This window comes from Homo sapiens, chromosome 18 (assembly GCF_000001405.40).
Source record: "Homo sapiens chromosome 18, GRCh38.p14 Primary Assembly".
Lineage (NCBI taxonomy): Eukaryota > Metazoa > Chordata > Mammalia > Primates > Hominidae > Homo > Homo sapiens.
Window position 1 is genome coordinate 78,999,460 of NC_000018.10, and position 13,526 is coordinate 79,012,985.

Below are 13,526 nucleotides of genomic sequence, written 5' to 3' on the forward strand. Positions count from 1 at the left end.
AGGATGTGTATATAACTAAAGAGAAATGTAAAGTGTTGTAAATAAGATGGCTCATGAAGGTACAGTGAGACTGACCCTCCTGTGTGCAGGGCTAGGCCATCCCTCTGCATGGTGAAGAGAGACACTATTTTTATACTGTAATGCCATGCGGGGCTGGGACCTCTCTGAGCAGCTGGGGATTGTTACCTAGACCCAATATTTTTTATTATTAAATCTTGTGGCTTGACACATCTGCTGACTGAAATGGATGTCTTAGTCTAGGTTACTATTTTTGTCATATGGAATTGAATAAAATGCAGGATGTAATGTTATTTCTGAGTTGCATTCCTTGATTTTTCTAATGGAGAAAGTGGAATTTGAGGAGGTCATTTGTGGTGGGTGTGTATCCGTGGTATTTCCACCAGGAACGTCAACACAGCTTGGCAGCTTAGATTTAAGCAGTGTCTCAGTGCATCTTGATTGGTCTTGAAATTTTTGTTTTTTGCTTTTTTCCAAAATAAAAATTCAGCCTCCTAGTTGTGGATTCTTTTTACATCTGTGATGGAAGAAGATGTGGTAGAAAATTCCTACATATCAGAGACTCCGCAGTGCCCAAAAGTGACCACTCGGAATTGCCTTCCCGTTGTCAGCATGAAGTGAAAATACCGGCTTTTCAGGTCGCTTGAACAAATAGATGTGCATCAAATCACATGACAGGACAGGAGTGGGTGGGACGGTGCTTACAGTGTGGCAGCAGCAGCAGCTTTGTGAGCTCATGGTGGCAGCTCCACACAGCTTAATTCCAGATGGAGAACGTCCTTAATTTAAAATAAGCTTTACTTCACTGATAACGGTTGATAAGAATGATTTTATAGCTCCTGGATTTCAAGATATGTAATCAATTTCTTCTTTTTCTTTTTTTTTTTTTTTTTAATTTTTAAAATGAATAACTACTGATAACCTAGAAGCTACAGTAATTTTTACCTGGGACGTGCCAGGTGGATTTTAAGGAATGATAAAGGTACTAACCACTAAACTAACCAATCCAGGCCAACCTTCCAGCAGATATTATAAGCCTTAGAAATCAAACCATGTAGATTTCAATGCTAGAATAGAAATTATAAAATGTAAACTGACTAGTAAATTCAATTTTTTTAAAGTAAGGAATTAGCAAAAAATGTACAGCCATCTAAAGTAATTAATATAAACTAACATGCAGGAGAGAAGGGATTTACTACTTGTATTTCAAAAATACTTCCAGAGGTAAGATCAGAGGTGTTTGGCTTGGCAAGCCTGGGTGTTTGCTGCTTTCTCATGCCAACTGTGGTGATGTAGACTGTGTATCAAAGAATCATAAATGCCAACAATCCCTAAAAATTATTTAAATACATTTCTAGGTTCATTACAGGAAACATTAACATTTAAGCTAATTAATAAGTACTACTAAAGGGCTAAAAAGCAATTGTCTTCCAGCTCTCGCTGTTTAATTTTGGCCCCATGGAAGCTCGGAGGCATGGAGCCCCTACCTGCTTTTCTGCGTTTGGCAGGCGTTGCCCAGTCCCCATCTTGTGTTTTACGAAGCCACAGTGAACATCAGGGCCATTTCTTTATTGCTAGGCTGCATGTATGTTTCCAGCCCAACCAGCTTCAAATCCCTGTATTCACTGTGGCTGTTTGTCTAACGCCGCAGACGTCCAGACCTCTCATCTTTCTGGTGCACGCGTGAAGCTGGAGACCGTGCTGCACATGTGTCATTCTCGCCCAGCCTGTCACCCGCCAGCTCACCGCCAACCTGAGGGCCCCGTGTTCAGGCCTTTGTGTTACAACCTTGTGCTCATTTGCTAATTACTGAGACAGGGAGCCAGTACTTGTTTATTCCTTTGAAAAGTTTCTTAGGACACAGTGCTTCATTGAAAAAAAGAGGGCATGAAGCGTTTATACCGGCAGGTGCTTCATTGAAAAAAAGAGGGCATGAAGCATTTATACCGGCAGACCTGTTTGCTGCTTTTTAGCTGTGTTAAAACTTGGTCTACAAAATATTCTATATAACATGAGGAAGGAAATGACATTCCCCTTTTTCATTTAAGAAGGAAATATTGGGCATTAATTCTCAGTATTCTTTATGAAGTGAAAACTTTAAAATGAAATCACAATAGAGGCTTTTTTTTGTTTTTTGTCTTTCTCCTTTCAGCATTTCTGTACCAAGCGAGGCTTGGGGCGTGACCTCGTCCTCCCTGCATCGTCCTGGCTGGTACAATCCACGCTGGGACCCGGGGAGAGGGCCCTACTTGGAGAGGGTTCTCATTCCTCCTGTGCCATGTAAAATCTGCTTTCCCATCTGTAGGAAGAGGGTAGAATTTGATGACATTCAAATCCTTTTCAGTTGTAAAATTCCATGTTTTTTTTTTTAAAGAACTACCACTAATGTACATCTTTCTCTTTACCCAAAAATAATCATGAAAAAAATTGATGGTATTTATATAGAGAGAGAAAATATGAGTTATTACCTAAAAATATTCTCCCATAGATATGAAAAATCAATTACAAATAAATTTGCTAAAGAAACTACATGGAATCATTTTTGGATCATGAAAAATGTGTTTGTATCTTTTATAAGAAAAAGCCATTGAACTTATTGATGTTAAAAATGCAACTATACTTGGTAAAATAAAATCAAGCTGTGAACTGATGCTTACTGCATATTCTGTTAGATAAGAGGTGTTAGAAACATATTTGATTTTTCCATGAGTCCTGCACACAAGTACACGCACAGCCCCTTATTACAGCACTATATATTCAAAAGAGTATGCAATTGAAAACAATGTGGTTTTTTTTCTTGTTGTTCCTTAGTAGAATATCAGAGAGCCTAAACTATGAACATTGGTGTTACTGTCCTGATTTCTACCACCGTCTGCATCTTTGGCCTGTTTTCATTGGAAGTATCATAGATTGTCATTTGGACAGACCATTCCTAGCGAATACTGGCCTTTCGCGGAGCTTGGAAAACCCTGTGGGAAAATCAGAAAGCTGGTAAGATAAGAGGAAGAAGAGATGTCACGGTGTCAGATTATGTTTGTATTCTGTTCTGTCCAAAGTTCTTTACATCAGTAAATGAAAAACAAAACAAATGATGCATAGGCCACGCCCTGCAGTGAAAGATGCAAGAACTTGTTCATATTGGTATGAATCGTTCACTGTATATGATTCAAACATGTGGAAATAAATGTTTGATTACAGTCGTTCCAAATGTGATTATTTGTGAACATGGGAAATGGGTAACCCTTCCCCCATACTTTCTAAGTTGGTATGATGCACCTATTTTAAATTACAGAATGATCTATAAACTAGAATTTTTACAGAAAAGTGTAAATTATTTCCTTCATTCCTCGTGGTTATTTTAGGTATGACTAATTCCATTTTGTGTTCCTTCTAGCTTAATTAAAGAACATCTGAATTTTAATGCCAATACCTTTTTACAAATAGGGATAAAATATCTAAATGACAAAATCATTTTTATAACTGACAAGGTCTTTTAATGTTTCTGTTATTTGATTTTTTTTCTCTTTGCCGTATCAAGGACGGTTTAAGAACAGCTCCCGTTGTGACCTCAATTTACCCAGAAGAAACATGCCTGCCCCCCGTCACGCCGCTGCTGCAGCAGAACAAGCAGGCCTGGAAAAACATTTTCCATGTCAAATGGTGACAGTCTCATGAATACACAATTAGAAAGTGTAGAAAGACTTCCCCACACATTGAGATCATTTAAGGAAGATTTTGCACATAAGCCTCTCACCCTTGTTTGTTTTTCTTTGTGATTTTTAGTAACAGAGCATCACACTCCACCATGAAATACAGCTGACAGGTCTGTGGAACTGCACAGCTTCAGCCTACTTAAAATGTTAGGTTTGGAACCATCAAGAAAAATTTTGCAACCCAGACCCTTTATATTTGGGATTCTTAAAAATCCTACTGGTAATTCAAGAGCTGGGTACTGTTAAAGCATATTCTTCTAAAGATAAACAATGCAGTTATTATTGGCCATTATAGACACATGCTGAGTAGTAAGTTGAATAATCAGCCTATAATTTCACCCAAGAAACTACTAGATCTTTATTTATTATTGAGAAATAGAGTGCATAAACCTCAGATGTTAATTCGGGACTGTAGGTAATTTGGGCAAATGAACTTTTATTAATAAATATTTGTAAGTAATTAGTTTTTCCCAAGCAAAACTCTAAACATATTCTCATCTCAGAACATGTTATAGGATCTGAAAATAAAATCTAACCTGTTGTTGAAGTTAATGAATCCCCCACCTCATTCATTCGGCACGAATTCCTTGCCTAAAGACCCTGTGTATGTATTCACGTGTGCGTTGCCGTCTCTCACTGAGAAGTTATCTCATGGCTTGGTTACTCTGTTCTTTCAATTTATGTTTTAACCTTGACACTGCCACCTCCATCACCGTCTGCTGAAGAGTAGCTGTAGACCAAGTTTTAAATTACAACAATAATGTGGTTATTTTCAAGGATGGTCCCTGAGACCAAGCTCTGAACCCAATAACCTTTTCCTTCCACTGGCCTGAATTAGTCTTAGTTTTAGAAACACTCAGTTGTCTCTGAAAAACTGAAAATCATGGCTAGACTTAGTATTTAGCTGAAGGCAAACTGAAGATTTTCTCAAAAGCCCTGAAAAGGGGACCTGACAGAGGAGTTCGTGTCCTCACGTCCTCCCTGGGCTCGGGTGTCAACTTGGCACAAACCAACCATTGTCAGTGGGCTCAGACCTTGTCCTGGTGGGTGCACAGCAAATTCACGAGTGCACGTGGTGCCCTCCATACGTAGGCATCGGTACACCAGCTGAAAAGTGTGTGTGTGAGACAGACCACACGTGTTTGCTGCCTGCCTTAGGGATCGATGCCTATTGCTCCAGGATCGATCTGATCGCAACCACAAATACTAAAGGATTGGCCAAGTCAAAGCTCAATTTGCCCACAGTGTGTGGCTGATGGAATCTAACTCGATTGGCTCTGGGAGTGTTAAATGAATAATTATAAGCCACATAAAAGTAATAAATGCATGGAAATAATATTTGTAACCACAGGGGCAAAAAGCATCACCACACCCAGATAGCTCATCTTTGAAGGAACCAGAAGGAGAACATGGGCATCAGAAGGTCTTGCAGAAAGGGGGTATTTCCTGCCTTTTGATAAAAGTTCACTTCAAAAAAGCTTCTTAACTCCCAATCTTTATCTTGCAAAATTGTTCAGAACTACTTTTAATTATTTTAACCTTCATTATAATATTTAATCGAAATTTCTACTTTATTATAAGCTGTGTGGACAAGAAAGAGTGACTATTTGAAGTAACAATCAACTGTCTAAGAGGAGGTGCACTTAGCTCAGCAAATGTCCAATTGTCCAGAATAACAAGTTAAACTTTTTAAGTAGAAAATAATGCTGAGCTTAATTATTTTATTAATGCATACTCCCTGACATCAGAAAATCCTAGCTTTTCTAAACTTCACAGACACAGATGAAACATTTGACATATGTTTGCAAGGCTGGCTTAATTATTATTATATTAGAAAATATTCAATACAAAAATTAGCCGAGCCTGTAATCCCAGCTACTCAGGAGGCTGAGGCAGGAGAATTGCTTGAACTCGGGAGCAGAGGTTGCCGTGAGCTGCGATCACACCACTGCACTCCAGCCTGGGTCACAGGGTGAGACTCCATCTCAGAAAAAAAAAAAAAAAGAAAAAAAATTCTCTATTTCACAAGCATTTAAATAATTGTGTGTTTGATATTACTCGTGTTTCCCATGCTTTTGTAATTAGAGAGATGGAGCTTTTCTCTTGATGTGTTGGAATTCCATCCGCAGAAGGCTACGTGTTGCAGAGACACTTCTGGAATACTCAATTCACTGATGCGAATATAACCCGTTACTTGGTCCTTCAGGATGAGGCACCAGCCACAGGATTCCTTACCCAGTGGGGCAACTTCCTCCATGGCTTTTTCTTTTTTTTTTAGACGGAGTTTCGCTCTTGTTGCCCTGGCTGGAGTGCAATGGCACAATCTCAGCTCACTGCAACCTCCGCCCCCCAAGTTCAAGCGATTCTCCTGCCTCAGCCTCCCAAGTAGCTGGGACTACAGGGATGAGCCACCACACCCTGCTAATTTTTTGGGGTTTTTTTTTTGTTTTGTTTTTTGTTTTTAAGTAGAGACAGGGTTTAAGATGTGGCAGAATAAGTCCTCTGGCAACACGAACGCCAGGCTTCCTGAAGCCACAGGTGAGGGGAAGGAGCCTGCCGGGTGGGCAGCCGTTTCTCGGGCTGTGCTGTGGCCTGCGCCGGGCCTGGCTTCGAGGCCGAGTTCCGATCCAGTGGCGAGCTAGCAGGGGTCGGTCCGCTTTTGACAGTCCCTTCTTAGGTAAGTCCCCGAGTCTCGCAGCGGCCTTGCTTCTTCACGAGCGCTCACGCATGTGTCTCCGCACGAAGCCACGGAGGCCGGCGGAGCAGAGGGAAGTCAGCAGACGCTCCTGAGTCCCCTCCCCAGGCTTTCTGGGGACCGGGACTCTGGGGCAGAGCTCCGAGCCCTGGGCCAGCCCCGAAAGCAGATGCCCCTGCAGCCCACGTGCAGCCCTCAGTGACCCCGACCCCAAGGCTCTCGTGGGGGTGGAGGGCGCGTGGGCTCCGGAGGCGTCGAGCACCGGCCAGGGCGGAGGGCAGCTCCTCCCCTCCCAGGTGCGCAGCCGTCGCGCCGCAGGGAAGCCTGTGACCTCGGCTGTCGGTGCCAGGATGGTTCCTGCAGGCGTGTCCGGGGTGAGCCCTCACTCTGGCTGCAGAGCCCGTTCGATCCAGGCCCTGCGCCGCGACATGGAATGAACCGCGGGGGACCGAGGCGCCGCCCTGGGAGGGAAGACCCGGCCCTGGGAGCGGGGCCCATCCTCGGGGCCCAGGGCGAGCACTGCGCAGGGACGGCCTCTGCCACCCCCAGGCATGTCCCCTGGCCGGCACGATGGCTCCTCGCCAACTGTAAAGGCAACGCTGCCTCCAGACCGCCAGAATTTCGGCCACAGTCAGCACCCGATGAGCCCCGCGGGGCAGCGTGCGGCCGTGGCTTCTCACCGTGCTGCGGGGCTGCGGGTCCCGGGTGGGCCCATTGCCCGGTCACACTCGGATCTTGGAATAAAATGTGGGCGTCCATGTGAGGCCGAAGCAGTGGCTGTGACGCCCCACGCGGGGTGCGATCTCTGCGGGAGCCGGCCGCACGCTGACCCGGGCCCGCCCTTCTGTGCTGACCCGGAGCCGCCGGCCTCCCTGGGATGTCATTTTAGCACGTGAGGCTCAACCTCTTTTCCGTTCGGTCCCACACGGCACCAGGTTGCGACTCACGGTTGTATTTTAAATAACGTCTCTCTCCTGTTCCAGTTCCACAGGCTCAGGAGGCTGTCCCCGCACGCAGGTCTGGGCACCCAGGCCACTGCTGAGCCCTTCCTTTTGGGGGGACACAGAATCACAGCAAAACTCTCCCGTGGCGCGGTCACCCCAACAGCTCCACGTGGGGGTCAAGTCTGAAGGGTCAGCCTCCTAAGCCCTAGGCTAGTCAGCTGTGATGACCCAATGGGACTGCGGAGTTGGGTCCAGAATTAACCTAACAGTTAAAGGTACACCTCACAGCTTAGAGGGAAGGGTTCCCGCAGGAAACTTGGCCCACCTCTCTGCAGGCCCATCGGATCAGAATGTCCAAGGGCAGCCCACGTGTTGATCAGTGTGAGGCCAGGATTTAAAACCGCTGGTCTGCACTGGACTTAGTGCTGTGACATCGGCACAGGGCCCTGGCCATGCGTCAGATGCAGATTCCAGTTCTCCAGGTCTGGGTGGGGCTGGGACTCTGTAAGTCTGACAAGATCCCAGGCGGCTGGTACAGCTGCTTCTGGTCTTGGGACCACTTTAAGGAAGCTTTGAACAGTGCTTAAAGAGGGAGCTGGCCCTGTGCTGTGATGAAGTAGAAGTATGTCTCCAGTGCTGCCCAAGGCACCCAGTGTCCTTATGTCCTTTTATCCGAGGCCCTTGTTCTATCAGTAAAGTTTGCATTTGACTACAAAGAATGGAAACCCCATATCATAGCTTCAGTCGGAGTTTGTTTTTCTCACATAACTCGAAGTCCAGAGCGAGGGGGTTGCTGGGGATGACTCAGCACCTCACGGACACCCCCACAGGCATTAGTGTGTGGGTTGTTCTCACGCTGCTCCCCACGTGACCACAGGATGGCTGCTGCAGACCCAGCCATTGCATTCACGCTCCCTCAGAAAGAGAAAAGAACGAGGGCACCAGGCCTGGAAGCCAATCCTATCTCTTGATCAGAAGAGTGAAAGCTTTTCTGGAAAAACCCCATTCAGCTGACTTCTGCTTAGGTTTCTTGGACCTACACTGTGTCCTGGGGCGACTCCCAGCTGAGAAGTGAGCCAGAAAGGCTCACTATCAAAAGAAAAAGAGCAAAAGAAAAAGAGGAGAGGTAGAAGAGATTAAAACTTCTGGCAGATTGGCTTCCCAGAAGCCGAACTTCTGTAAAGTTTGAAGAATATTTCTGCATTTATAACACTCATATCAGTTCATCAACAAATATTTACTGGACACTTGTTACGTGCAAGGCTTTGCGGCTGGCTCCACTAAGGTGAGAACCTATATATGTTCCCACAGATTACACACAAGGCGTTGAATTGAACGCCCGATTCTATTCAATGGAGGAGAAGAGTCGTCGGCCATGCAGTGGCTCATCCTGGGGCCCTCTGGCTTCCTGCCCTGAGCCTCTGTGCCGCCAGCCTCACGCATGCCTGGCCAACAGGACCTGTTCAGCCCTCTCCATGCTGCCCGAGGCTGCTTCCTGCCAACCCCGTGAACTAAGTGGGTTAGTGGGCATCATGCTAATCCTAGACGGCCTGGGCTCTGATCAGAGAGTCCTCTGTTTAGTTTCTAGCTTTTACTCGCACAGCTTTTACCCACAGGCCGTTGCCTGTGCTCTCTGAATCTCAAAAGCGGGGTTTGTGAAGTGGAACCCAGGGGTCCGCCTTGCCGGGCTTCTGAAACGGTCACCAGCCTGACGCCATCCATTCCTGAGGGCTCCCTCTGCCCAGAATGCCTCCCCCGGCTCTTTCAGGCACCCATCCCTCCTAAAGGGAACCATCGGCCATGTGTAAGCGGAGCAACGAGGAGACCAGATCCGCAGTCCAGAGATACTGCTCCAGCAACCCGGTCAATGTGTGGGAGGGAAGCGGGCGGTGGGCTCTGCACCGTCCATGGCTGGCTCCGGGCGACTTCCAGCAGAGCCAGCTAAGTGAGGCAGCCTGAGGCATGGGGCCAGGGCACAGCACCCCACAGACTCCAGACCCCGACCCCAAAGTTAGGGCTGAGGCTCAGCCTCGCCAGGGGGCCAGGGGATGCTGCAGCCTTTGGGGGAGTTAAATTTGATAATGGGGGTAGAGTGAAGCCATCACACTCTGAGCTCTGATGCAGATAGCCACAGGCAGGCCCAGGACTGGAGCCAGGACCAGCAGGACAAAGCCACTCCAGTGGCCTGTCTGCAGGGTGAAGGGGCCACTGGGCCACCTTTCGCTCCAGAAAGCGATATGCGAGGTGGTTGCAAACGGTCCCGCTTCTGGATGATGCTCCCGCCACTCCCTGGCCTGTGTCTGCACACTGTCCATGTATTCCATCTTCCTCATCAGAGGAGCCCGCGTGGCCCACTGCGGGATACTCACCTTGCCAACCGCTGTGGGCCAGGGTCGTGTTAACACCCGAGAGATGCTTCGGACGCAGGCCTGCGTGTTAGTTGAATTATCCTACGCGTGATTATGTGAATTGTGTATCACAAGGGAAATATATGTACGTTCTCACCTTCGTGGAGGCAGCCGCAAAGCCTTGCCCGTAACAAGGGTCCAATGAATAGTTGTTGATAAGCTGATATTTGTGTTATAAATGCAGAAATATTCTCTGAATTTCACAGAAATCTGGCTGAAGAGGGAAGCCAGTCCACCAGGGAACTTTAATCTCTTCCACCTCTCCTCTTTCTCTTCTTTTAATAGTAATTATTGACAGGGAATGCTGAATGGTTTTCTGCGGTCACATTCCCGTGTTCAGTTTAATGATATGGGGAACTGCAGATGGAGGTGAGGATAACTTGAAAAGAAAGGGTATTATTGGTAAATGCGCTGGAAGCCTTGCAAATTTGAGAGGATAAATTGAAATTTTACAGGACTAATGAGTTTTTGAAAACTGTTAGCCAGGCTTGTCCAAACCTTTCTCTCCCTATTTAAGATTTTCTAAATTAGAAACTCAGAAATTTCAGTAGCTGTTTTGGTCCTGGAATGAATAAACAGCCCAAGTAGATGGTGTGTTTCCATTTGTTAAACGTACACTGTATCTTGCTTCCATTGTAATCATAGAGCATTATTCTTACTGCAATTAATAGTCTGTTCAGAGCACCTGCTTTGTGGAGCCAAGATCTAGATACTTTGCAACCATCGCTGGAATTCAGCTGTCAACAGGGACTGAATTCTAGGCATTTACATTTAATTTTCATATGCACTATGGTATCCTGGAACATTTCCATATGAACCTAAAATTAAAATTTGAAGCAAATGCAATATATTTCTGAAATCATTCTTGGTTCTAGGAGTTTATAACCCAGTGGTTATTAGAATCTTGAGTCTGATTCTTGGGCTTAAGCCTTAGTGTCAAATTTGAATTTGGATTCATCATTGAATTGTCACGGACCTACAGCCACATTTAAAAATCTTTGAATCCAAAGGGTTGCTTGTAACGGTGAACCTTTATACACTTTGAGCTGTGAAAGTGACCTTTATTTTTATTACTATCATCAACCATTTCATCGGATGCCACTGTCAACTGGCTTAAATATTATTTGCCTCAGTGTATGTAAGCCCTAGGGAATTGTTATCCCCATTCATCAGCTGAGATTGTATTTTACTTAGCATTTATATCCTTCCATTATGTAACATTATGTAGCTGAATGTAAGGAATATGCTAACTATCCTTAAATATAATTTTCCTCCTAAGCAGATCATATGAGATTATTCTGCCTCTTGCAAAAACTCCTCTGTTAAATATTTTATCTCATTGCCTAGAAATATTCTTAAATATGATACAGATAAATCAAAAAAATTAAGTTGCTCACAGTTTTATTGGCAATAATGTGAGAAATAATTATAAATTCTAAGTTGTGGGGTTTTTGCTGTTGTGGTTTATTTATTTGTTTCCCATATCAAAATTTACAGCGATATTTTATTAACATGTTAGAAATCTTTCAGACTACCAATAAAACTTTAATCCATATCATCGTTTCCTATTGACTTTAAAGCTAGAGTAATTTATCCTGAAATTTTTATCTATCATCTTCAGAATAAGCGGTTTGTATAGATGTCGCTGTCTCTCTTTTCAACTGAAACTGCACCCTCGTTCTGTTACATTTGTGATGAAAGAGAGTTAAGGGTTTCTAGCTAAGTGGCAGTTTTCAAAATGTGGGTCACAGCTCATTTGTGGGTCATGAGATCAGCTTAGCGGCTCTAAACCAGTCTTGTGGGGTTTTTTTTTTTTTGTTTTTTTCTTTTTTAATGAAAGAAAATCGAGTAGGAAGTGTCAGGCTTTGCGGCAAATTGAAAGCGTGAGTCCCGGTTGATGTTCCTGCATGGGTGTGGCTGGGCTGTCCATGTGAAGTGGGTCATGACCAAACCGTTTGAAAAACATCGCTGTATGGATGCATCTTTTCCTTTGCGTCTTTCTTTTCTTTTCTCTCTTCTGCTTTGAGCCATCACCTTGCTTAGGAAGGATTCACGGCTCGGGGTATGAAGCTGACGTCAGATTGCCAGGATTCAGATTTGAGCTCTGTCATTTCCCTCATCTGGGAAATGGGCATAAGGACACTGCCAGCTTCACAGACTCCTTGTGCGGGTGACACTCGTGGAAGGGAGCCGCGTGCCGGGTGACAGCGGCATAGTCAACAGCAGATCACACGTTCCCCGCTGGGCCCATCAGATCACAGTGGAGCTGGAAACTCCCCATTGCCTGGTGATGCTGGGACCGCCGCATGTAGCACAAAGGGTGACTCACATGTGTGTGGAGATGCTGGTGTACACAAGCAGACTGCACTGCCGGTCTGTGAAAGTCCAGCACACACAGCTGTGTCCAGTACATGATGCTCCATAGTCATAATAAAAAGCATTGTTCTGCTTTATGTACTTACTATACTTTTTATTGTTATTTTAGAGTGTTCCTTCTACTTACGTATGTCTATATAAAAAGGTAACCGGAAAACGGCTTCAGGCAGGTCCACCAGGAAGTGTCCAGCATAAGGCATTGTTGTCACAGGAGAGGACAGCTCCGTGCGTGTTATGGCCCCAGGAGACCTCCCAGTGGGATGAGATGTGGAGGCAGAGGCCATGATACTGATGATCCTGACCCTGTATAGGCCAAGGCTAATGTGTGTGTTTGTGTCTTAGTTTTTAACAAAAAATTTGAAAACTTTAAAAAAAATTAACTAGAAAAAAGCCGATAGAATAAGGATATAAAGAAAGGAAATATTTTTGTACAGCTGTACAATGTGTTTATCTTTTAAGCTGTTATTACAAGCTCCAAAAAGTGTTTTTAAATTAAAAAGTTTATAAAGTAAAAATGTTACAGTAAGCTAAAGTTTATCTAATGAGCTGAGCGTAGCCTAAGTGTGCAGTGTTTATAAAGTCTACAGCCACGTCCACACCCTCACTCACAACTCACCCAAGGCAGCCCCCAGTCCTGCAGGCCGTGTTCATGGTCCGTGCCCTATGCAGTGTATCATTTTTTATCCTATCTACGGTTTTTACTGCACCTTTTCCACATTTAGGTATGTTTAGGTGCATAATACTTACCATTGTGTTACAATTGCCTGCAGTACTCAGTTCAGGCAGTGCATGTCTGCAGCCCTGGGCCATGGGCCATGCTTGCAGCCTTGGTGTGTATAGGCTGCACTGCCCAGGTTTGGGTAAGGACACTCTGTGTTGACCCCACAAGGACAAATCGCCTAATGACCGATTTGTCAGAACACACCCTCATTATTAAGTGATGCCTGACTCTTTATGAAGTGCTCAGAGCAGTGGTTGTTATATAGTATTACATAAATGTTAGTGATAACTTTATGCAACTCTTGAATCATCTATTGCACCAATATTTGCTAAGTTTCTTTTTTCATTGTTTCTCAATTTTTTTTACCATTTGCTCCATCCCTTAATTATGTGTCCTTCTTTCAACATTTTATGTTTTGGGTTTGGTTTCTAGACAAACATTTATATCCCTTCATATTAAAATTGTTTATATGGAAATAAAAATATTTGCAGTTCCAGATATAAAGGTTTATAAGGTATTATATAGTAAGTAACTCTCAATTGAATTTAAATCTATTGGAATAACTTAAGGAGGTTTTCAATTATGAAGAATTCCCTGAATGCATGTATCACTAGTACAATATGGTGAAGGGTTTTAATCACACTGGTTTTG

The 13,526-nt window shown here is 44.5% G+C and overlaps 1 long non-coding RNA gene across 2 annotated transcripts in view, besides 1 other annotated feature; it reads right to left on the minus strand.

The window, feature by feature from the left end:
• LOC105372225 (uncharacterized) overlaps nt 1,938-13,526 on the minus strand; it is a 62,644-nt gene continuing 51,055 nt past the window's right edge. For both annotated transcript variants that reach the window (XR_001753514.2, XR_001753513.2), the window contains exon 3: nt 1,938-2,317. This is a non-coding gene — a long non-coding RNA (uncharacterized LOC105372225). The remainder of the gene's footprint in view (nt 2,318-13,526) is intronic.
• Nucleotides 7,450-8,649: an enhancer, noted in NCBI's record as "BRD4-independent group 4 enhancer chr18:76766909-76768108 (GRCh37/hg19 assembly coordinates)". NCBI's record gives its function as "activates an origin of replication core promoter dependent on BRD2, P300/CBP, MED14 and CDK7 cofactors, and independent of BRD4, by STARR-seq in HCT116 cells {active_cell/tissue: HCT116}" and the evidence as "EXISTENCE:reporter gene assay evidence [ECO:0000049][PMID:35650434]".